Consider the following 19,116-nt stretch of genomic DNA (forward strand, 5'->3'; position numbering starts at 1 on the left):
TGGAAATGTGGAGATTAACTGTTTCTTAAAATGACCTGCAATCAATTATTTCATTTTTAACTTTAACTTTACCTTCACTTCCTAGAGGTTCCTCCTGCCAGTTCTAAGCTTTTGGGAGATTTTAAAATTAAAGGTCTGTTTTTGTTTGTTTGTTTGTTTGTTTTAGCTTTCCCCAGTACAGGATTAGGATTCAGCCTTCTACAGTTCTTCTAAGTCAGTTACTGCTCTTCCATATGTTTTTAAGCTTCCAATGTTTTACCATTACTGATCTGTCCTGCACCTCTTTATTCTTGTGAAAAAATTTTCTTTGCTCCCATTTTAGTGGGGTTTCAGAAAGGCATAACAGTAAATGATAAAATAATCCTTTGTATGCATCCAGAAGTAGCATGCATTTTTTCTGATTCTCCTTCAGTGAGTAAGTATGGTTCTTCAGTAAGTGTGGCCCTATGGTTCCACCAATAGTGCTCTCCAGAGGTCTTGGTTCAGGTACCACAGAAAAAAGGCCTTCTTTCTTTTCCTCTTTGTTATGGTTTAAATCAAAACTTCTATTTGACCAATTAAAAAAATTCCTCTGGACAGCTTGGCATGGAGCACGGATTTATAAATCTGATTTCTTGTTCCTTTAGGGATTTCTTTTACTTTTTTGTGAGCTCAGCTTTGTATTTAAAAGGATGGATGTCTCTCAGGACTGGCAATGGTTACTTAGGCAGATAATGTCATATTTATCCATTCATTTTACAAGCAGTATTTAACCCTATATATACCCTGTGCTTGAAGGTATGGAGAGATATGTCCCTGTTGTACATGTGCCCAAGAGGACTAGAGAATTGAACAGAATAAAGCAGATTTGAGCAGTGTCCCTAATTGAGCACAAGAGGGTCGCCAACCCAAGGTGTTGGAGAGAACCACGAAGTAACATATAAGGAAGGGCACGCCCACAGGTTATGGTCAAAGGAGGCTTGGAAACATGGCAGGAATTGGATCACTGGAAGGAGACATTTTAATTTGACACACACACAAAATGGAGAGTTAATGTTTCCTGAACCTGAAGCTGTTATGATCAAATAGTGTTTCACCAGAGAATTTTGAGAGCTTTATATATTGACCATGAGACAAGGAGGGACAGGGATGACTAGAGATAGAGAAACCAGCTAGGAACAACCACAATAGTCCATGGACCAACTGTGGCTTTCACACTCATTTTTTTTTTCTTTTTGGGAGAAAGATAATTTATAAAGGTCTCAACTATTTCAAATGTGTGTGTTGGTTTTTTTTTAATTTGATTTAGGATTCAAACTTTACTTCAATATCAGAGGACTCTGAAGTTCTCTTAGAAACATTATCTAGAGTCATTTGCTTGCCAAATATTTCTAAGTAGCAACAACAAAAACAATTAAATTCTTTGTAGTTAAAAGGCCTTTCTAGATGTGAAAAAGAACATTTGCTCATAATACCATTTAATTCTACTTTCAGTCTGTGACCTCAGGCATCCTGAGACATCCAAATCCAATTTATTCTGGAAAATGTTTTAGATTTCAAAATTTCAGATAACTAGAGCCTATATTTCATTTTTTTAAAATTTGCATACTCTTTTAAAGTTTAACACAAGAAAATCAAAGAAGCCATAATTACTGTAAATAAAAAAATAAAAATGCATTTTTTAAAACCCCAAGAAATTTCCCCAAATTTCACTAAAACACTGTCATTAATCTATGTATTAATCCATAAAGATTTCTGAAAGGTATAAAGGATTTAAAATGTCAATTACATTTAATTCTCATTAGTTCTAATTAGTGAGTACAGACAAATACTACCTTCAAAAATACCATTTTTTTAATATCCAATACAAATTAGGTTGTCTTTTTACCGGCTTATACATTTTTTTTTATTTATTATCCTTTCTCAAAACGCTTTTTCACTCTCAACCTTCTTTTTAGTGATTGGGTTTTTGTTCATATACTTTCTTCACAGGCTTTTCCACTTTTTTAGAAAGCATTTTCACTTAACAATGTGGAGAAGATGACAATGATAACACACAGGTTTAAACAACACAACAAGCAATGCAAGCAAAATAGAAGCCATCTTACAGGCAAAGCAGCTAGATCCAACTACAGGGCACCCTATACCCTCCTGCCCAAACTTGTGTTCAAATTATAAGTTTTCACTGGCCCCAGCATGCAGATATTTTATAGCAGGTTTTCAATTAGGGTACTGCATGTGGGATAAAAATGGACGCAAGCCATTACAGGGAATATTTGCAGAGTGAGAATTCAGGTAGTAAGGGTTATCTATATTGTGCTCTGTGCGTCCACTGTCTTCTCTAAAAAAAACTAGGTGAAAAAAATTTTAATTAACAAAATATATACAAACAAAATACAAAAACACAAAAAGGAAGACAAATTATTATATTTATTTTCTTATGGTTTGCATTCTTTCTTCTGATCAGACAACAAATCCCTTTGTGGAAGTGACCTCATTTTACAATTCAGTCCAACAAATGATGCTGGCCGCCCACGTGGTGCCAGGCACAGCGCCAGGCACTGGAGGCAGGGAGCTACTTATGACGCAGATGGAGCACCAAGGCTGAGCTTGTCAGCTTGCTCCGGAAAATGTTTGTTTCCTCCCAGTTTCCATGTCTGGATGCCTTGTATCTGCCGCTAGGTAACTGGGTTATTTCTCCACAGCACTCCCCTCTCCAAACAAAAGCTTTCCCCAACCATAACCAGCAAGACAAAATAGCAATCTGGTCGTTTATGTTGATATTCACCCAAAACGTGGTCATTAAAATAAGAGCATCAATTTTTACGTCGCTATTAATTACTTATCATTGTTTATAATGCTTATATATTTTAGAGCGAAATATAAAGAAATAAAAACAGGGAAGTGCAAACTGAGTATCTACCTCCCATTAAACTTCAACTTTAGTTCTAACCATTTCTTTATCTAACCCAGTTTTTCTTATTTTGTAAAAACAACCTTTAAAGTGTCCAGTGCCACAAAATCCTAGCTTTTCAGAGTTTCAGAAACTAGAGTCTCTTTCTCTCTCTGCTTCAGGGCTTCTGATAGTTCTTGGGTCAAAAGCCTGTAGTTATTTACGTATACTTACTAGAGAAAGGGCATTCTATTTTACTGTTTGCTGCCATGAATAGACTCTGACGCATTTTAACTGGCCGGCTAGACTTTCAGAGGAAATCTGGCTTTAAGCTTTCAGAAGAGACCTTCCTCTTTCTTTTTCTTTCATAGTTAGAAGAGGAGTCCGGGCACGGTGGCTCACGCGTGTAATCCCAGCACTTTGGGAGGCCGAGGCCGGTGGATCACCTGAGGCCAGGAGTTGGAGACCAGCCTGGGCAACATGGTGAAACCCCGTCTCTACTAAAAATATAAAAATTAGCTGGGCGTGATGGCGCACGCCTGTAATTCCAGCTACTCGGGAGGCTGAGGCAGGAGAATTGCTTGAACCCGGGAGGCGGAGCTTGCAGTGAGCCGAGATCTCGCCAGTGCACTCCAACCTGGGTGACAGAGTGAGACTCCATCTCAAAAAAAAAAAAAAAAAAAAAAAAAAAGGAAAGAGCAGGAAGACAATGGCAAGCACTGAGAAGCACTTATATACACAGTCAGGGCAAAGATTTCTTGCAGTAGTCAGGGTCAGACTGGCTTCTTCCCCTCCTTGCCCTTGAGACAGAGTCACCCAGGCTGGAGTGCAGTGGCGCGATCTCAGCTCCCTGCAACCTCCGCCTCCTGGGTTCAAGAGATTCTCGTGCCTCAGCCTCCCAAGTAGCTGGGATTACAGACGTGCGCCACCACACCTAGCTAGTTTTTGTTTTTTTAGTAGAGGTGGGGTTTTGCCATGTTGCCCAGGCTGATCTGGAACTCCTGAGCTCAAGGGGATCCAGCCCGCCTCGGCCTCCCGAAGTGTTGGGATTACAGGCGTGAGCCACCGTGCCCCACCCCTCCTTGCCTTTTAAAGCCCTTAAGTGCAGTATTTATTGAGGAGGCAATTTGTATATATATATGTATATATATACAGACTCCCCATACCAGTGATCCCTAGAAATATATCACGTCACATTTGTCATTTAAAACTTAATAGTAGCCACATTTTAAACAGTTACCAAAAAAGGGTGAGAAGGGGGATGGTAGGGACTGGGCGAGGTGGCTCACCCCTGTAATCCCAGCACTTTGGGAGGCCGAAGTAGGTGGATCACTTAAGGTCAGGAGTTCGAGACCAGCCTGGCCAACACAGCAAAACCCTGTCTCTGCTAAAAATACAAAAATTCTCCTGGCTGGTGGCGTGCACCTGTAATTCCAGCTACTGAGATACAGAAGGCTGAGGTGAAAGAATCACTTGAACCTGGGAGGTGGAAGTTGCAGTGAGCCAAAATCACTGCCACTGCACTCCAGCCTGGGTGACTCTGTCTCAGAGTCTTAGCGTGAAACCCTTTCTTAAAAAAAAAAAAAAAAAAAAAAAGGTAAAAAAAGGACAAATTAATTTTAATAATATAACTTTATATAACTTAATACACTTAAAATACTGTATTTCAATATGCAATCAATCTAAAAAATATTGAGATATTTTAGATTTATTTCTCCTTACTAAATGTACTTTACACTTAGAGCTCACCAAATGCAGAAGCTCAATTTTTACAGGAAATAATTGAGTTGAAGTGTATGATTTTATAAAATTTACAGTTGGAAAACTATATTCACATACATAAGGTGTTCCAAATATACTTAAAATGTTTTCCGTTAAATGAAAAAACATTCTCCTTTAATATTTGCGTCCATATGTACAAAACTGGTCCAGCTTTTTTTCTTTTAACCATAATTGCTTTAAAGTCAATTTAAAGCAAAAGCTATCAGTTTCAAAACTATCAAAGTTAATTTATTAACTCTTGTGCGAACTCGGCATTATTAATATTGACTCAAAATGATATTGATAGATTGAAAAGCAACTGTTTATAAGTATCCACAATGAGTTCTTTACACTTTTTCTTGCGGTTTTGGTAGCCAATTTAAGTAATGCTATCCATTACAATTACAATCTTCTGCATATTGACTCATATAAGAAAATAATAAAGATTGTTATTATTGATTAAATTATGAAAAGTTTTAATTTCATTTTAAAATCTTGTATCTGTCCAGAGAGGCCACAGATAAGCATTACCTTTCCTTGGAGTTTCAAGTTTAGCTTATTTATATGCAGTGTGATATCACTGTGAAAACTTAAATCACATCGCCATCTTTTGTCTTTGATTTTTGAATATTTGGCAATTTTTCTTTATTTTCAAAAAATATTGGATTGGAATTAACAGTACAGTAAATCTTCGTAAAATTCTTTCACGACTCAACCAAAGAGCACTGTCAAAGAAGGCATGAGGTCATTGAACTCATTGTCTTCTATTTCTTTCAACAGTTCTATAAACTTGTGATGATTCATTGCACCTGCATGTATGCACTGAATGATTTTAACAATGTATCCAGGACACATTTCATGGAGTTTGTTTCAGAAAATGAGCATAAATATTTTTAAGATGTATCATACAGTGAAACAAAGAAGTAAAGAAAATATCAGTCCCTTTAGAAAAATTCCAGTAAGTCCGATTTTTAGCTTAACATAGATGGAAAACTGTTTGTTGTGTTAGAAGCTAATTTTTTAATAACTAGCTGAAATTCTTCAACAGATGTAAAATATTGAAAAATACTCATGCCATGAGTTTAATATTTTAGGCCACGAATAGACAATAATTATTAGTAAATTAATAAGTTGTTAGGGACAAAATATACCCAAAGCATTAATTTGGCAGTGTATTTTATATCTCATGATTTATCAAAAGCTAAAAACAACAACCACAAAATTTGCAGTTTTTTAGATTTTGAATCAGCTGATCTCTGTTGTAGTTAAAGAGATCTGGTATTTTATAAGCAATTTTTTGGTGGCTTAGTTGAATTTCTTACTTTTGTGAAATATCTTTTTTGTCTTTATCTCATAATTTTCTTAAAAAATTATATAACTGAAATAGTTTTTTTTATTATCCTTCCATGTAAAAAATGTGTGTGTGTGTATGTATATGTAAGAACCAAAGCAAAATTATATTTGGCCAAAGTGACAAGCTGGGACCTGTAAAAAGTCTTAATTTTTTCTTAGATATGTAATTCTAATTTCAGGTAATACATTCCATTGGTTCTTTTTTGAATGTTGAGAGAAAATTTATCAAATTCACTATGTAGTTGCCAAAAAATCTCAATATTTTTGTACTTTATTATACTTAAATAAATTTTATACAACAGCTTTCTCATTTTGCGCATTAGCAAATTGCAGTGCTATTCATTGTGAAATTTGCAATATACTTTTTCCAGTCTCTCTTTCTTTCTTTTTTTTCAGTTCCCATCATAGTACTAGCTTCTGCACCTCCATGCAATTCTGCATCAGTAACATGTCTTAATTTGAATTTTAAAATTTATCCATACTTTTTTTTAACCAGACAAATAATTTAAATGTTACAATTACAGTAATAATATTTTCATTTCATTACCGGCTATGATTTATATAGTGTCACTCTAACTTTTTGTGTCTACATAAAATATTCAAATAAGCATATTATAATGTTACATCACTATATAGCAAACAATTATTTAAACTGGATCAATACGTGGACATCAACTAAATTAATGATGCATTTACATCTAATACTAGAAACAATGCATGTGCTCTACATATACAGTATAATACAATAACATCTTTTTTTTTTTTTTTTGAGACAGAGTCTTGCTCTGTTGCCCAGGCTGGAGTGTAGTGGTGCAATCTTGGCTCACTGCAAGCTCTGCCTCCTGGCTTCACACCATTCTCCCACCTCAGCCTCCCGTGTAGCTGGGACTACAGGCGCCCGCCACCACACCCAGCTAATTTTTTGTATTTTTAGTAGAGATGAGGTTTCACTGTGTTAGCCAGGATGGTCTCAATTTCCTGACTTCATGATCCGCCTGCCTCGGCCTCCCAAAGTGCTAGGATTACTGGCGTGAGCCACCGAAATGTTAACCTACAAAGGGATCAAGCTATGTTATTGGAAAACTCTTTTACACAGTTTCAGCTTTTAAATGTAAATTAATTACAATTATGTAAAATAAAAAATTTAGTACCACAATGGAACTATCCATATTTCAAGTGCTCAATAGCCATATGGTAGCTAGTGTTTACCATATTGGATACTGCAGCTTCTAATTATGTGGTAACTAGACCTGGTAGACACCTAGCTCAGTCCCTCAGTCAGGGATTTTGATTCCATTTCCTTGAGTGAATATTTAAAAACACACATGAACAGATATTTTAAAAATATGATTAAGCTATTATTTATCGTGACTCCTCTAAATAAGGATGTAATAAAATCACAATGTAAACTAAGAATAAAAAAAATCTCAACTTGCAGAAATCTAGCTTTCATACTTTCCACATTATTTTTTATAACATAGTATATTGAATAAGATTTCCATGTAAACCATTAAGCACAATGTCTGGAACATAAGAAGTCACATGCTTGTTTGTTTTTTCACTATGTCATCTGATTGCTAATGATTTTGAGCCAAAAAAGGTGGTGGCTGTTGTCCATTTGTTGATGCTGCTGGGGATGAGGGGATTGATGCTGCCCCGGGAGATTGATGGTTGAGAGCCAAGACTGGACTTCTAAGACAGCAGATGTCTCCACCCTCAACCTCTCCCCCAACCCATAAACCCATCTCCTGACTGCCAGGGTGTCTGGGGCTTGCTCACCACATGGGCTTAGCATCTTAAGCTGGTGTCTTCCTGCTAGGCCCCCTCTTCTCTGACCATATATATAGAGAAAGCTGGCCACTGAGTGGAGGGCCTTGCTCAAGGGCAAGCTTGTGGGGAAGAGCAGACTAAGCCTTCATTCAGTGTTTTTTTCAGAAGTAAGGAAGGGAGATCTCCTTCCTCTGCCCCCAATCCCTGTGTATCAGAATGTCCTGCAGAGGGTCAGGGAAGGGACTGCATAGCTTTACTCCCCTGGTCCTAAGGATTACCTTAGGACCTTACCTTAAGGAGAAGCCTCGAGCCCTTCTCCCATAATCACAGCGGTTTCTACCCTGGCTAGTTGTGCCTATTAAAGATTTTTATATGCTCTAGGTTACTGAAGTTTGAGTAAGGCAGTCTCTACAGGAAGCAAAATTAAGGATTTTCCAATATTTTGCATTTGGGGAGGATACCTCATCCCACCTTAAAATTGGTAAGTGTACTATTCAACTTTTGAATACTGGACTTCTAAACATTGTCAGGATACAGTGTTATCATAAATGAGGAAAAGGAAGTTTTAAGAGTAAACATCGGTATTTATTGAGAGCTTACCATATCCTAAATATCTCATTAATCCTCAAAGCAAAATTTATTGAGGTTGCTTTTATCTCCAGTTTGGGGATGATGAACCAGAGGCAGCAAGAAGATAAATAACTTTCCCAAGGACATACAACTATAAAGGGTGGAGTGAAGATTCAAACCTAGGCAGTCTGACTCTAGATTTGAGTTCTTTGCTCTTACACACATGTGTGACATGTATCTATATAAAATATCCCTAGCTTGGTGAAGTAGGAATAATAGTTTAATTATATGCTAGGCTCATGCCTATAATCCTAGCATTTTGGGAGGCCGAGGTGGGTGGAACGCTTGAGCCCAGGAGTTCGAGACCAGCCTGGGCAACATGGCGAAACCCTGTCTCTACAAAAATTACAAAAATTAGTAGGGCGTGGTGGCATGCACTGGTAGCCCCAGCTACTCGGGAGGCTGAGGAGGGAGGATCACTTGAGCCTGGGAGGTCACGGCTGCAGTGGACAGTGATCGTGGCACTGTGCTCCAGCCTGGACAACAGAGTGAGACTCTATCTGAAAACAAACAAACAAAATCCCTATTATTATTATTATTTTTACTTTTAAGCCTTTCTGAAAAGAAATCTTAAATATCTATACAGTGCTTTACTTACGTTTGCTTATAATGCTGATCCAATATTTTTGTTGTTGTTGCTATTGTTTAATTAATTTAACTTTCTTCAATTGAGGTTTAAAAATTGTCCTGTCTCCTACTTTAGAAAGGACTCAAGATTAAGACATAGGGCAAGATAAGATAATTAACAGTAAAGTTCTGCAGACTACATCTGAAGGAACAAGAGAGAGTGGCAATGAGGCGCTGAAATCAAACTGATTGGCACACGTGGGCAATAAACTGACTGTAAGCTTTCTGGCAGCCAAAGCAAAAACTAAACATGTTGGATTGCATAGTTTTTGTTTCCTGACAATAAGATGGATAAAATTCAGCTGCAGACAACTTAAGTAGGAATTGATTGCATGAGGCTTTAATAAAGGGAATTCAACAACAACATGGAAAATATTTAACCCAGGTTTTTATGAGACACAGAAGAGTCATTCAGATACTTGGTTGTCATATTGTTCTTAAATAAGAGCAGATGCCCTTACATACTAACTTGATACTTGTTAAATCGTCTCTCTAAGGCTGTAAAAACATAATGCTGTGTTTTTTTTTAAGACCTAAAATCATGATTAGAACTTGGAGATTCTCTGATGGGTAATTTATGTGCAATTCTCTCAAATACCAGATTCTTTAACAATCACTGGTCGCATGCTAAATACCTGTAAATAATGAGCAAATCCTCTAAACAATACAGATTTTTCCGGTGTTTATGAGAGCTGTAAGCTTTAGATGTAAGATAGCAAAGAAATAAATATGTCATTGTGTGTTGGAATGTTAAGACCTCAACTTGTAATCCTGACCAGACAGACTGACCACTTCAGGTCCTACACCCATGTGATATGTATCTATATAAAACATCCCTAGCAGGGTGAAGTAGGAATAATAGTTTAATTATATGCTAGGCACTGTTTGAAAATATTATCCACATTTTTCAGATGAGATAACAGAGGCTTAGAAAATTAGAAAGTTAAAGGTCCTATGCAAGCAGCCTGACTTCAATGCCACTGTTCTTCCCAGAGCACAATACTGATACCCAGAGAGGCCTAAGAATTCTAGTCCAAACTACTTGGGAAAATGTGACTTTAGTCTGACAAGTCATTGGGTTTGATGTTCCCACCTGTGTACACCTTCTCAAAGAGAACTTCTCTATTGTTCTGTTGGTGTTTTTCTGAAGAAGGCATCTATTAGATGCCACAAATAAGTAAAAGGGTGAAAAAGTAACTTAAATAGCAGAATAATTCAATTTAACTAGTTGCAGAAGATTGTCTGAAACTGCCCTTTTAAATGTGGGTGAATGATTACTTGTTTCTATGATTTAATTATGGCATAATTAACATTATTAATGTTCCTTCTGGCAATAGCTGAACTACAAATTCAATTGCTCCTTAAGACCTCTCTTGACAAAGACAATAAAACAATGCTCCTGGTTCAAAGGAGAAAGGCTGGCCTTCCTGTTTCCTATGGCAGAGACACATGCACCAGCAAAATTAGTTTTCTTAGTACTAGAAAGATTTAAAAAGAAGCAGTGCTAGGTCAATGCCCCATGCAAGGCCATTTAAAGTTGGTTCTGTATCTGCTATGAGAATCTGACTAGTCTAACATTGCTGGTTTGTAGAGTTGCTAAAGAAACAGGAGGCTAGCCTGGGTCTGTATTATGTATTAAATGATGTTATGTTACCAGGTGCCCTTGATGATTTCACAATGTGGAGGAAATGTATTCTTTAATAGAGCTTTGTTTCTATACAAAGCACTTTGTAGTAGTAGCAGTAGGAATAGAAAAGTGGGTGTAGATAGGAAGTCAAATTACTGGACTGAGGGACCATAATGATTGGGGGCTACGGAAAGAAACAAAAAGGACAGGGATTTTAAAATTCAGCAGCTCGGGTGATGCCGTAATCAGCAGCAGTAGGAAAGGTAAGAACCAGGTAGGTTTGGATGGTAGAGGGTAAGGAAACTTGTATATAAATCTATTTGAAAGTGGATGGTTGGGTTCAGCAAAGGTCCTAAAAAATTAACAGACACCCTGCCTTCCTTGTTTGGGACCTATGCCGTCCGTTACTATTCCCTATTAATATTGACACAATATCAAGAGTTCCCTAACAGTCTGATAAAGGTCTGAAGGAGGCAAAAGAGCTGACACTGCCATCTCAAAACCTGATCCAATTTATAGAACCAATACCAGGTTATCCATCCATCTATTCTTCCATCCATTCAGGTTCATTCATACTCAACTAACAGGTGTTTATATGAGCCAGGCACTGCAGGCTAGATACTGGGGATGAAATGGCTAATAGTGCAAGTTGCTTATAGTCTTATTGGAGAGACACATGAAAATGGGCAGTAACACCAGTATGCAATGATGGGGAATAGAAGACAGAGCATTATGCAAGCACATAGGAGCATCTAACTCAGCTCAGGTAAGTCAGAGAAACCTGCCTGGAAGAGGTGATGTCCAAGTGAAGACCCAAAGGATGGAGAAGGGATGGTCAGGTGAAGTGGTGAGGTAGGAGCCTTCCAGGCAGAGCTGTAAGCAGTCAGCAAGGTTGGAGCATAAAGGGTGAAGTGAGGTGTAGTGATAGTTTGGATGAAAGAAGTAAACAGGCAAGATCGTAAAGCACCTTGCCTTATTCAACTGTTTGGACTTGATTCTAAGAGCAGTGTGTGCTGTTTACTAAAGGATTAGATCCATATCTCTCCCTTAAGTTGGAGGGATGGTGTGGGCTTGGGTAGAGCTTCGAGTACTTTGTTGTCTTATGATCATCTGGGGCTAGAGTCAGAGCATCAAGACCTTTGGATCATGTCAGTGGGAGCATCTTAGGAACTCAGAGTCAAGGGTGATAGGAAATTTGGCCCCAGCATCATTTGGCACTCTACTGTCTGACTCCCTCTACCTTCCACTACCACTTGAGCATGCTTATCAAGGGATAACAATACCTACCTGTCTTTTGTAAGCACTTGCTTTGTACCAGACACAATGTAAGCATTTTACAGCTTCTTCTTGACAACTCTGTGTTGTAGGTATTATTATATCCATCTTACAGATGAGGCAACTAGGCTCAAAAACTTTGAGTACCTTGCCCCAGGTGACATGGTAGTAAGTGATAGAGGGAAGATCTGAACCCAAGCAAACTGATCCTAGAGCTCACGTTAATCACTGCAGGAAATATAAAAATGCAAGTAGCGTTCATTTCTTTAATTTGGATGTTATATTGCAGGGAAAGAGTCTGAGATAGAACTACATGATTTTTTTGTGGTTTTATAAATATAACCACATGTTTTATATGTGTAGAACATTAAATATGCCATTTAACAATTTTTAAGTGCAAAATTTAGTGGCATTAATGACATTCATACTGTTGTGCAGCTATCGCCACTATATGTCTCCAAAACTTTTCCATCAGCCCAAACAGAAACTTGGTACCCATTAAGCAATAACTCCCTATTCTTCCTTCCCTAGCTCATGGTAAACTCTACTTTCTGTCTCTATGAATTTGCCTACTCTAGATATCTCATGTAAATGGAATTGCACAATATTTATCCTTCTGTGTTTGGCTTCTTTGCCTGGAACAATGTCATTAAGGTTTATTCGTGTGGTAGCATGTATCAGAACTTCCTTTATGTCTGAAACAGACTTCATTGTATGCACATACCACATTTTGTTTATTCACTCATCTGTTGATGGACACGGGTATTTTCCACATTTTGGCTATTGTAAATAATGCTGTAATGAACACTGGTGTACACATATCTGCTTGAGTCCCTGCTTTCAAGTCTTTTGCGTAACTGCCTAGGAGTGGAATTGCTGGGTTATATGGCGATTCTGTGTGTAGCTTTTTGAGGAATCACCAAACTGAATATTGGCAAAACCACAAAACTTTAAAGATGGAAAGAATCCTGGAGAGAATTTTGTTAGCTCCTTTACTATACAACTGGGGAGATAATTAATTTTTAAATTAATTATCATTTTTTGAGCTTTGACTATATATGGTAGCCATTTAATATACATTATCCTATTTAATCCTCTCCAAAAGCCTATGGTGTGTTCATTATCTTAGTTTTATAGATCAAGAAACTGAAGCTCAGAGAGGCTAGATAACATGCCCAGCATCTCCCAAATGGCAAATGGAGGAGCAGAGCTTTGTACTCAAGCCTGTCCCTATTGTCAAGTTAACTGAAGACCCTAAACGTGGATCTGCTCATGTTGGAAATGGTTCTTAGTTTTGTCCATCTGTAGATGGAGTACAAAACGTTGTGTACTTGTGAAAATGTTTAATTAGTTCTTTAACTATATTTGGCATTTTACTTTTTTTATTTGTGGGTTTTTTTTTTTCATATTACCTGGGTTCACATTTTTAAAATGCACCTTCATTGTCAGTGAATGATGGAAGACGCAGGAAACAAAACACTTTGTTGTTATTGGGTGTTGGTGCTGGTTTTCTCTTTTTTGAATTTTCTCCAAAGTATTTCTCTGTATAGCTACTGTAATCTGATGCTCAGTAAACATCCTCTTAATTGGAATGCTGTTGGTAGTTGGGAGAACTCATCTGACTTTTACATCTTTTTGTCCTCCTTGGGTGTGCTTATCATTCACCTCTTGTCTAATTTTCTTTGTTATTTTATAGATTGAATTTTCAAATGCTGCTTCATAGTGATGACAGCCTTTCTTTCCAAGGATTCCTTTCCTGTTTAAGACGTTTCACACACCATTGTTTAAGCACAAGCACATTTAATCTTGAGCCATTGATAACATCTCCTGCAAGACTTCTGCTTCTCCTCTGCTTTATGGGTGTTTGATTCCATTCATTCGTTTTGTGTAATGTCCTTATTACATAATGTATTCTGTTGTGGCTTCCTTTTTTCTTTTGCTCTCTAAGCAATTTAATTGGCCATTTGGGGGGTCATATTACTTTTTTTCTGCTTAGGATTTTAAACTCTATTCTTGATGAGGCTGAGAATTAGTCTAGCATGTTTCTCAGTCTGCTTTTTCATTTTTACTTGCATAATGAAAGCACACTCAAGAGGAGAACTAGCCCTTGCAGCTATTCCCCATTGCCTTCTCTAAGGGGCTCTACTTACTAATTTTTTCCTCTCTGTCGGGTTTCTAGGTTTTCAAACTGGGACTTTCACTGCCTCTGGCTCACCTGCTGCCCTGAGCATCTTGCTGGTTATTCTGTCTGAATAAAAATAGTAGCTCACATTTATTTATTAATATATACAGGTGTCTATTTTATAAAGCACATTGAAATACATTATCTGACTTGAGTCTGACTTAAATACAGTAAGTAAACATTATTATCTCTATCTTATAGATGAGGAACTAAGATGTAAGGAGGTGAAGTCATTTTCCCAAAACCAGACAAACTAAGTGGCAGATGCAGGATGTAGACCTTATATTTTTCTAATATTTTCTTATTTTTTTTTAACACTTGGGTGTAGTCAAATTCTTTCTGGTTCCTAGTAATCAGATAGTGAGTTTTCAAAAAAAAAATGTATAAAGAAGCTAACGGAAAATAAAAAGGAAATAAATGTGGGAAAAAGCAAAGTATAAATCTAATGAAGATTGACACATTTCTAGCCCTAACTCTGAACCATGTATTTCTTCACTGATTTGAATTCACTTTCTTTTACTACATAAGAAATCACCACAAACTTAGAAGCTTAAAATAACACCCATTTGTCAGATTTGTCAGCTCACAGTTCTGTGGGCCAGGCAGGTTTTGAATCTGGCATGGCATAGCTGAGTTCCCTGCTCAGGGTATCATAAGGCTAAAATGAAGTTGTTAACCAGGCAGGCCTCTTACCTGGAAGCTCTGAGGAAGACTCTACTTCAAGCCCATTCTTATTCTTGGCAAAACTCAGTTCCTTGTGGTTGTAGGACTGATATTCCTGTTTTCTTGCTGGCTGTCAGCTAGAGGCTGCTTTCAACTCCTAGAGCCACATAAATTTCTTAACAGGTGGTCCCCTCCATCTTCAAGCCAGCAGTGGAGCCTGAAATCCCTCTCATGCTTCAAATCTCCACTTCCTCTTCTGCAACAAGCTAGAAGAAACTCTCTGCTTTTGAAAGGCTCAGATGATTAGGTCCAGCTCACCCAGATCATCTATCTTAAGGCTAACTGTGCCAAATTAATATAACCTAATGATGGGAGGAAAATCCATCATATTCATAGTCCTGGGGATTATGTAGGGTGTGTATACGGGGGTCAGTGTGGGAAGCGGGAGGAAACATCTTAGAATTCTGTCTTCTGGAAAAAATACTATTTGAGGTACACAGGCTCTGCTTTTTTTTTCTACCATCTTAAGTAACACCACAGGCTCTAGAACCCCTACTGTAAGGCCTGTAGGGATCCCTAAAACCTCTCCAACACTAATTGTTGATTTCCTCTCTGAGTGGGGCCTCAGACAGCCTCACTGGACTTTCAGGTACTCTCAGGTGTGTAATAGACCATTCCTGACTCTAGCCCCAAGAATTCTTAAATCTGCCTTTCTACATGCTGCCAAAGGTCCTTTGGCTCCCAAATCTTGAAAATCCTACTCTCATTCCTGACCCATCTCTTCCTGTTCTGGGTGGCTTGCCAGCAATCACTAACTGATAACAGTGGTCGTGGTCTCTGCTCCATGGGGAACTTGAGTGTTTTCCTTTAGGGTCCTAGCCGGTAACAGGCCTGGTCCTGGTCCTATCCTACTTTCTATGTAGCATAAGATAATGCATTATACTTGGGCTCGGCTCTGGAAGCTACTGTGACTTTCTCTCCATATCCTGGACAGATCAACATTAATGAAAGTGTCATCCTCCCAACTGCCCACCACCCACTTGGCATCTCCCAGCCATTTCTCATTTCTAATGAGGACCTCACTGAATTCTCACTGAAACCTCATTTGTTGAGCTGGGTGACAGACATCACAGGATCTGGTCAATACCATAGTCTGGTGCTTCTGACCATGATTCCCTCTAAATAGTAAGGTAGAATACCTGCCTCAGGGAAGGGATCTTTTAAAATGACAGCTTTAACATGTTATATTATGTGTCCAACACTTTCTTCACTGACTTACTGTATACAAGGATTATGGCCATACTACGGGGGAAGTATTATTAGACATATTTTACCAATGAACAAATTGAGGCTCAGGAAGTTCAAACCACTTGCCTAAGGATACAGAACTAATAAGTGACAGAAGCAGCATAGTTCACACCTCTTCCACTCCCGTGACAACTTGTTCTTAGAGAATCACACACACTATGAGAATGCCAAGAATACAGCGAAAGAAAGCGGTGTTGTGCTCTCACACTTGGGCTTCTCAACACTTGTGTCCCATGTGTTTTTTAAAACCTTTGTTTTAGGAAACGTTCTGCGGCAGTCGTTTCTTCAATCTGCATCTGGTTCCATCACTGTGGCTGCTGCTTGCACATCCCAACAAAGTGCTGCACTGCGAAGCGTTTCACAGGGACTCAAACAACAAAACAACTCTTAAAAAGTGTCCCATAAAGTGCCATATGCAAACATCATGTGTGGCGTGCACATTTTCAGCAGCGGCAGAATGTCTGCTTCCTGTGAGGATGCATGGGTGGGTGCACTGAAGGCAGGGATATTTTCTGAGTAGTGTGTTTGGGGGCAGCGTTAGGTACCCAGGCACACATGTTGGCCCGACACCCCTTACTCTTGGGTGTGGAACAGATCTACAACAGAAAGGGCTTGTGGTAGGAGTAGATTCCTTTGTTCTGACCCTGGTAGACTCAGCACTGCCATTTCATTGTTTCTAAGAAAGGCTCTGCTGGTAAATCAGTCTTAGTACCTGCCAAGAGCACTGTTTCCTTCTAGGAGAATCTTCCCAGCCCCTGGCCTCTGCCAGGGCCTCAGGCTGAGTGGGGCTGGCCAAGTCCTATATCCACTCTTCTTACCTTAGACAAGAAGGAAGAAACTGATTCAAGGACAGCCAGTCCATAGACTGACCAGCAACCTGTAAGATGGTCAGGTATGGAATCTCTTTCCTACCACAAGCAGTGTGGTTAACTAGGCCAATCAAGTTCTCATTCTTGGAAACCTGAATTTGAGATTATAGAGAGAACCAGGCAACTGGCAGAAAGAGAAAACAGCAGACAGAAAAAGGGAGACTACACGAGAGTAATGGGGCCACATTCATGGTGAAACACTCGGAACTAGGAACTCCTGAGATGGATGAGGGAGATGAGGCAGCCCAATGCTTAGAGTGGCCAGGGATCCCGAATGTCCTCCTGACACCTCCCTCTGACACCTGGCTTGATTTTTGTCTCTACTCTGGTATTACAGTGAGATTTTAGTCTCTTTAATTACATCAATTAGGATGCTTTGGGCTGCAAGTAACACAAAACCCAACTAAAAGCAGTCTTCATAAGAAAAATAAGTCATCTCACTTAACAAGACAATCCTAAGCATTTCCCCCACTCCCTGGGTTGGCTAATTTAGTGGCTCAACAATGTCGTGAAGATCCCACATGTTTCCTGAATTTCTTCTCATCACCCTCTATTTTGCTTGTCCTTCTAGCCTACTTTCTCTCATGGTATCAGAAGCCTGCAAAAGTTCCAGGCAATGACATCCAGAGATGAAAAAGGAAAAAAAAAGGGAATGTACCTTTCCTTTGCCCCTTTTAAAGCAAAAGGAAAATACCCCACCAACTCCCCAGCAAGCTTCTCCCACGTCTCATTGGTCAGAATTGCACCCTCTACCCATTCCTAAATCAATCACTGGTGCCAGCAGGGAGGAATGCAGCCGCCTGAAGTACAGGGTAGCTCTATCCTTTAATCCAGTCAATGTCAGTCCTCTGTTAGCCAGGGAGAAGGCAAACAGCAGTGTCTGCTCCACTTACTACCTCATCTACTGAACAATAGAGCTCCATTTCATGAGATGACCTGGTTACATCTGTTTCCTTCAACTCAGAGAGTTGGCTAATACCCAGATCAGCCTTAGCAAGTTGAAGACATGATCTTCAGTAGGTACTCTTTGAGAGTAGTTGAGAGCTGAGTGGTTATGTAAATACAATATTATACGGAGCCCTAAAATTTCCATCGCTTTCTAATATTTTACGGGGCCCCAAACACACACAATAGACTCCAAGGAATGAACCTATCATGCCACTGCTAACTCTGGGCTTCTCAGTTCATTTCTTGCCTCCTTGGGCCTCTTAAGCAGTGATGGCATTCTGTCTTTCCATGCAGGCTTGCTTCTAGCTGATACACAGGCTTTTCTGGAACAGTGGTTTTCAAAATTTCTTTGTGCATCAGAGAATCTCCTGAAGGGCTCCTTAAAAATTGCTGGGCTCAAAAGGACAACATATGAAGCTTAGGAGTGAAGGGACTTCCTGAGCAGAAATGGGCAAACTTCAGTCTTTTTACTGTGTCTTTGCAGTATTCTATAGATAATTTCCTTAATTTGTAAATTTAGTGACCATTAGCTAGTGATCATTTGATGGGCAGCGATTCTAACAGTATAAAGTCCACAATGTTCTATGTCCCTAGCCTGCCGTTTTTCAGCTGCATGTAAAAGGGGGTAGGATGAGATAATCGACCATTATAAAGATTTAACTATTTTATGCTGAAGCGGCCATATTTTCAAGGGATGACACCATCTTGCACACAACAATGAAGGTACTCGGCCATAGACTTGGAGTGAGACCATATATGGGGATGAGATTCTTCTAGATCCTAATACTGCTGTACTGGCCTGTGTGTACATGGGGTCCTTCAGCTGAGGCCTTGCAAGGCAAGCCAGCTGTGCCATGTTTGTAGATGGGGCAGAGGAAGCTAGAACAATGGAAAAGTAACCTATTTATGCTAGGTCCACCTATTGAAACGAGGTAGGAATGAGGCTAGGGTCCTTAACTTCCTTCAGGCATACTTTTCTAGCTACCTTCTGCCCTGTGTCTGGTACCTACATCCTTGATGATTGTTCTCTTTCATCCATTGTGGAGATATATATATGTATGAAAAGCAAAAAAAATAAATTGCTGGGCTGGCACTACCTCAAAGCTTCTGATCCAGGAGGCCTAGGAGGGGGCAGTTAAGATGCATTTCTTACTAGTTCCCAGGTGATGCTTCTGCTGCTAGTCTGGGCACCACACTTTGAGAATCACAGCTCTAGGGCTAGGGGTGCTAA

This window comes from Homo sapiens, chromosome 1 (genome assembly GCF_000001405.40).
Source record: "Homo sapiens chromosome 1, GRCh38.p14 Primary Assembly".
Taxonomy (NCBI): Eukaryota; Metazoa; Chordata; class Mammalia; order Primates; family Hominidae; genus Homo; species Homo sapiens.